Source organism: Homo sapiens, chromosome 10, assembly GCF_000001405.40.
Source record: "Homo sapiens chromosome 10, GRCh38.p14 Primary Assembly".
NCBI lineage: Eukaryota > Metazoa > Chordata > Mammalia > Primates > Hominidae > Homo > Homo sapiens.
This window is the reverse complement of record NC_000010.11, coordinates 46,716,909-46,719,894: the sequence shown is the minus strand read 5'-3', so window position 1 is coordinate 46,719,894 and position 2,986 is coordinate 46,716,909. Positions and strand designations below refer to the sequence as shown.

At 34.3% G+C, this 2,986-nt stretch overlaps 1 long non-coding RNA gene across 1 annotated transcript; it reads right to left on the bottom strand.

The window, feature by feature from the left end:
• Positions 1 to 337: 337 nt before the first annotated feature.
• Positions 338 to 2,374, bottom strand: LOC101927584 (uncharacterized). Its single transcript, XR_945927.2, has 4 exons — positions 2,306 to 2,374; positions 1,647 to 1,768; positions 1,482 to 1,546; positions 338 to 1,376 (listed from the first exon to the last, which is right to left on the bottom strand). It is a non-coding gene; the product is annotated as an uncharacterized LOC101927584 (long non-coding RNA).
• Between the last annotated feature and the right edge of the window lie 612 nt (positions 2,375 to 2,986).

Sequence of the window (2,986 nt, the reverse complement as noted above, 5' to 3'; positions counted from 1 at the left end):
AAAATAATTGCCTTTCTTCAGAGTGGAGTTGTATATGTGCAGATTGTTTCATTTTAAGAAAAGAAATATTTACTGATTTGATTAACTGAAGTTCTGGATGCTTAAAAAATGATTAAAATACACAGATCTACTATCTGTCTTCATGAACTTTAAATGTCTTGTAAGAAATTCAAGTAATAAAGACTACAACATTTATTATTTAACTGGAACATGTATTATTTATTATCCTAACTGTGGTTAGGAAGCACCATTATTTATTATATCTATATTAATCAAGTTGTATCCTGTAACAGGTTTCCTGTTATCCACTCATGTCTTCTAACTTCTGAAGTATTGTTTAAATTACAAGGGAGAAACCTAGACACTACATTTTCTAGGATCTCAGGACAATAGAGCTCCAGGTGAAATTATGCTAAATAAGGGCATGAGTGTAAGATGTGGATGTCACAGTGAAGAGATTTAGAGCATTTTTCTGGTGACCTCCTGTTTAGGTTTGACAAGCATCTAAAATCATTGTTAGCAACTTTCCCATAATTATTGCATTTTCAGCCTTTATGAAAATAGCAGCATTTTTTTTCCTTTCTTTGCCCATGCACACCATCTAATCATGAGATAAGTCTCCTTCTGAGTCCCTAAATACATGACATACATAGATTGGGATCTTTTTCTGACCTGTTCCTGTCTGATACATTCTTCAACTCTAAGATGAGTTCATACTCATCTTCTGAAGCCCCTGGGAAATGGAAATATTTTTTCATATTGGATGTTGGTAGAGACCCATCATTTAATGAACATTTATGTGCCAGGATTTGTACAAGACACTTAGATACATTATTCATGTACCTCACACAAATGTATCAACAACACAACAAAATGTCTGTATGAAATAATAATTATTATATCCCTTATATGGAAACAGATCCAGAGAGGAAGATACACTAGCATGTGTAAATAGAGGATTCAAGTATTAAACATCCATCTGTCCAACTGACTACAACCTCTTTCATAAAATGCTAATTTCTCTCCTGCTTCTAATTTTCTTATCAAAAATTGTCATCTATTGTTATTGGGTCTATGGGTGGGTAGTGACTCCTTGGTTTCCATTTTGTTCTAGCGGATTACTGTCTTCTTTATTTTTGTTCTAGTGTTTATTGAGAGTCCTAATTAATTAACCTGGCTGCTCTGACTTCCATCAGCTCACCATTGTCTCTTCTCCCAGCTCATAATTTCTGTAACAGAGCTCTAGGCTATGCTGAAGTTCTGCTATATGTTGCCAGTCTCTCTAGATCCAAGTGCCTCTTGTCGGCCAAGTTTACATGCACGTGTTTAAAATCTTCTTATTGACTCTATATACAAAGTCTTCACATGCCTTCCTCCTTAAAATAATAGCATTGTGAGAAGAAAAAAAAAATCATCATTCTTTTTAAAACTAATTCAGGATGTCTATGTTATACAACAACAAGACGTGGGGGAATATTTACCTGGTAGTTCTGTCCCTCGTTATCATTCTCACTCATTATAAAATTGGTATCTGAAAAAAATCTTGCTGCAAAAACAAAAAAAAAATGTATAGGGTATAAAGAAAAAGTTTGCTTCACATCATAACCATTACCCATCCCATTGCCAAAGGGAAGATTGTACACTACATGATTCCGGGGAGCAGCATTCACATAGACTATAGTGTGCATGGTACATGCAAGAGACCCCATAGTACTACCCGCTTTGTCCTCCTTGTAGACATGCTCACAGATGATCCATGCTCCCTGACCTGGAGTAGTCAAATAAAAGAGTAGCATCAATTTATTAAGATTCTTTCCAGACCATTTTCTAGGTATTCCCATTATATATTCCTTCAAATGGAAGGATTTTATTCTGTACATCACATCTCACTGTACACATTTTTTTCTGAAATCTGAAATCTGAGTATTTTAATTTTATACAGTTTCAATTGTGAGAAGTACCTGACAGACTGACCTGACCTAACACTCTCTAAGCTAAAACACTCATAAACTAGCATAGAAGCTTTACACATTTATCCATTTCTCTAATTTACTTATCTATTGTTTCCTGAAACATCTATTAATCTTGCAGTTATTTGAGATGACTGTGAGCTTACTATTTGCCAGGGATGGCATGAGCACCTTGGTTTAGTCTAGTGCCTGGCATTTATTTTCCTAAACTGTGGCAGCAAGTTTAGCTGTAAGCATATTTTTTATCAGAACAATCATCCATCTTTAACTACATGTGAGGAAAGTACTTTCTTATATTGCATTACACATTTTTATATGGCCACAGAAATCCTTACTTAGTCTGACAAAATTATGGTAGATTTCTTTCTCCTAAGGTCAAGGAAAGAATCATTCTGTACTGTTTCCATGGAGATGTTTCTCCTTTTCTCAATTGCCAATTGTCTACTGTGTGTCCTGGGTTCCTTCTTTTCATATGTCATGAGGATTCTCACCCCAGCATTCTGCTCCTCTGAGTCAAAGCCCTTGACTTTCACTTCTCAATTGTTTTGTTTGCAGTTTTTTTGCTTTCCTTTATTTTTCTTACTCTATAAATGCTATGAAAGTGTATGTAAAAATTTACCCATCTTTTAGTTTATATTTGTTATCACCCTTTATTCATATACCAAACCATATAGGAAATGAATATAAGGAGATCTTTCTTAGTAGGAGGTAGAAGTAAAATTTTGTTTAGAATAAAAACAGAAAAAAAGAGAATAAAATTCCATATCACCAGTTTGCTTCTAAATGCCCAATGTTTCCACTTATGAGCTTGCTACTGTACACAACGCAAGGGCTTGTAAAAAATTGTCTAAATGATAGTGGTTAAGGACGTATTTTAGGCTAGGTTACTTTAAAAAAATATATCATCACTTCTGCCGTCAAAAGTGAATTTGATGTATCATAATTGTTAAAGTTGAGGAGGGTCAAGGATTCTTCTCATTCTATGGTTTCCTTATAAATACACTTTCTAATAAATG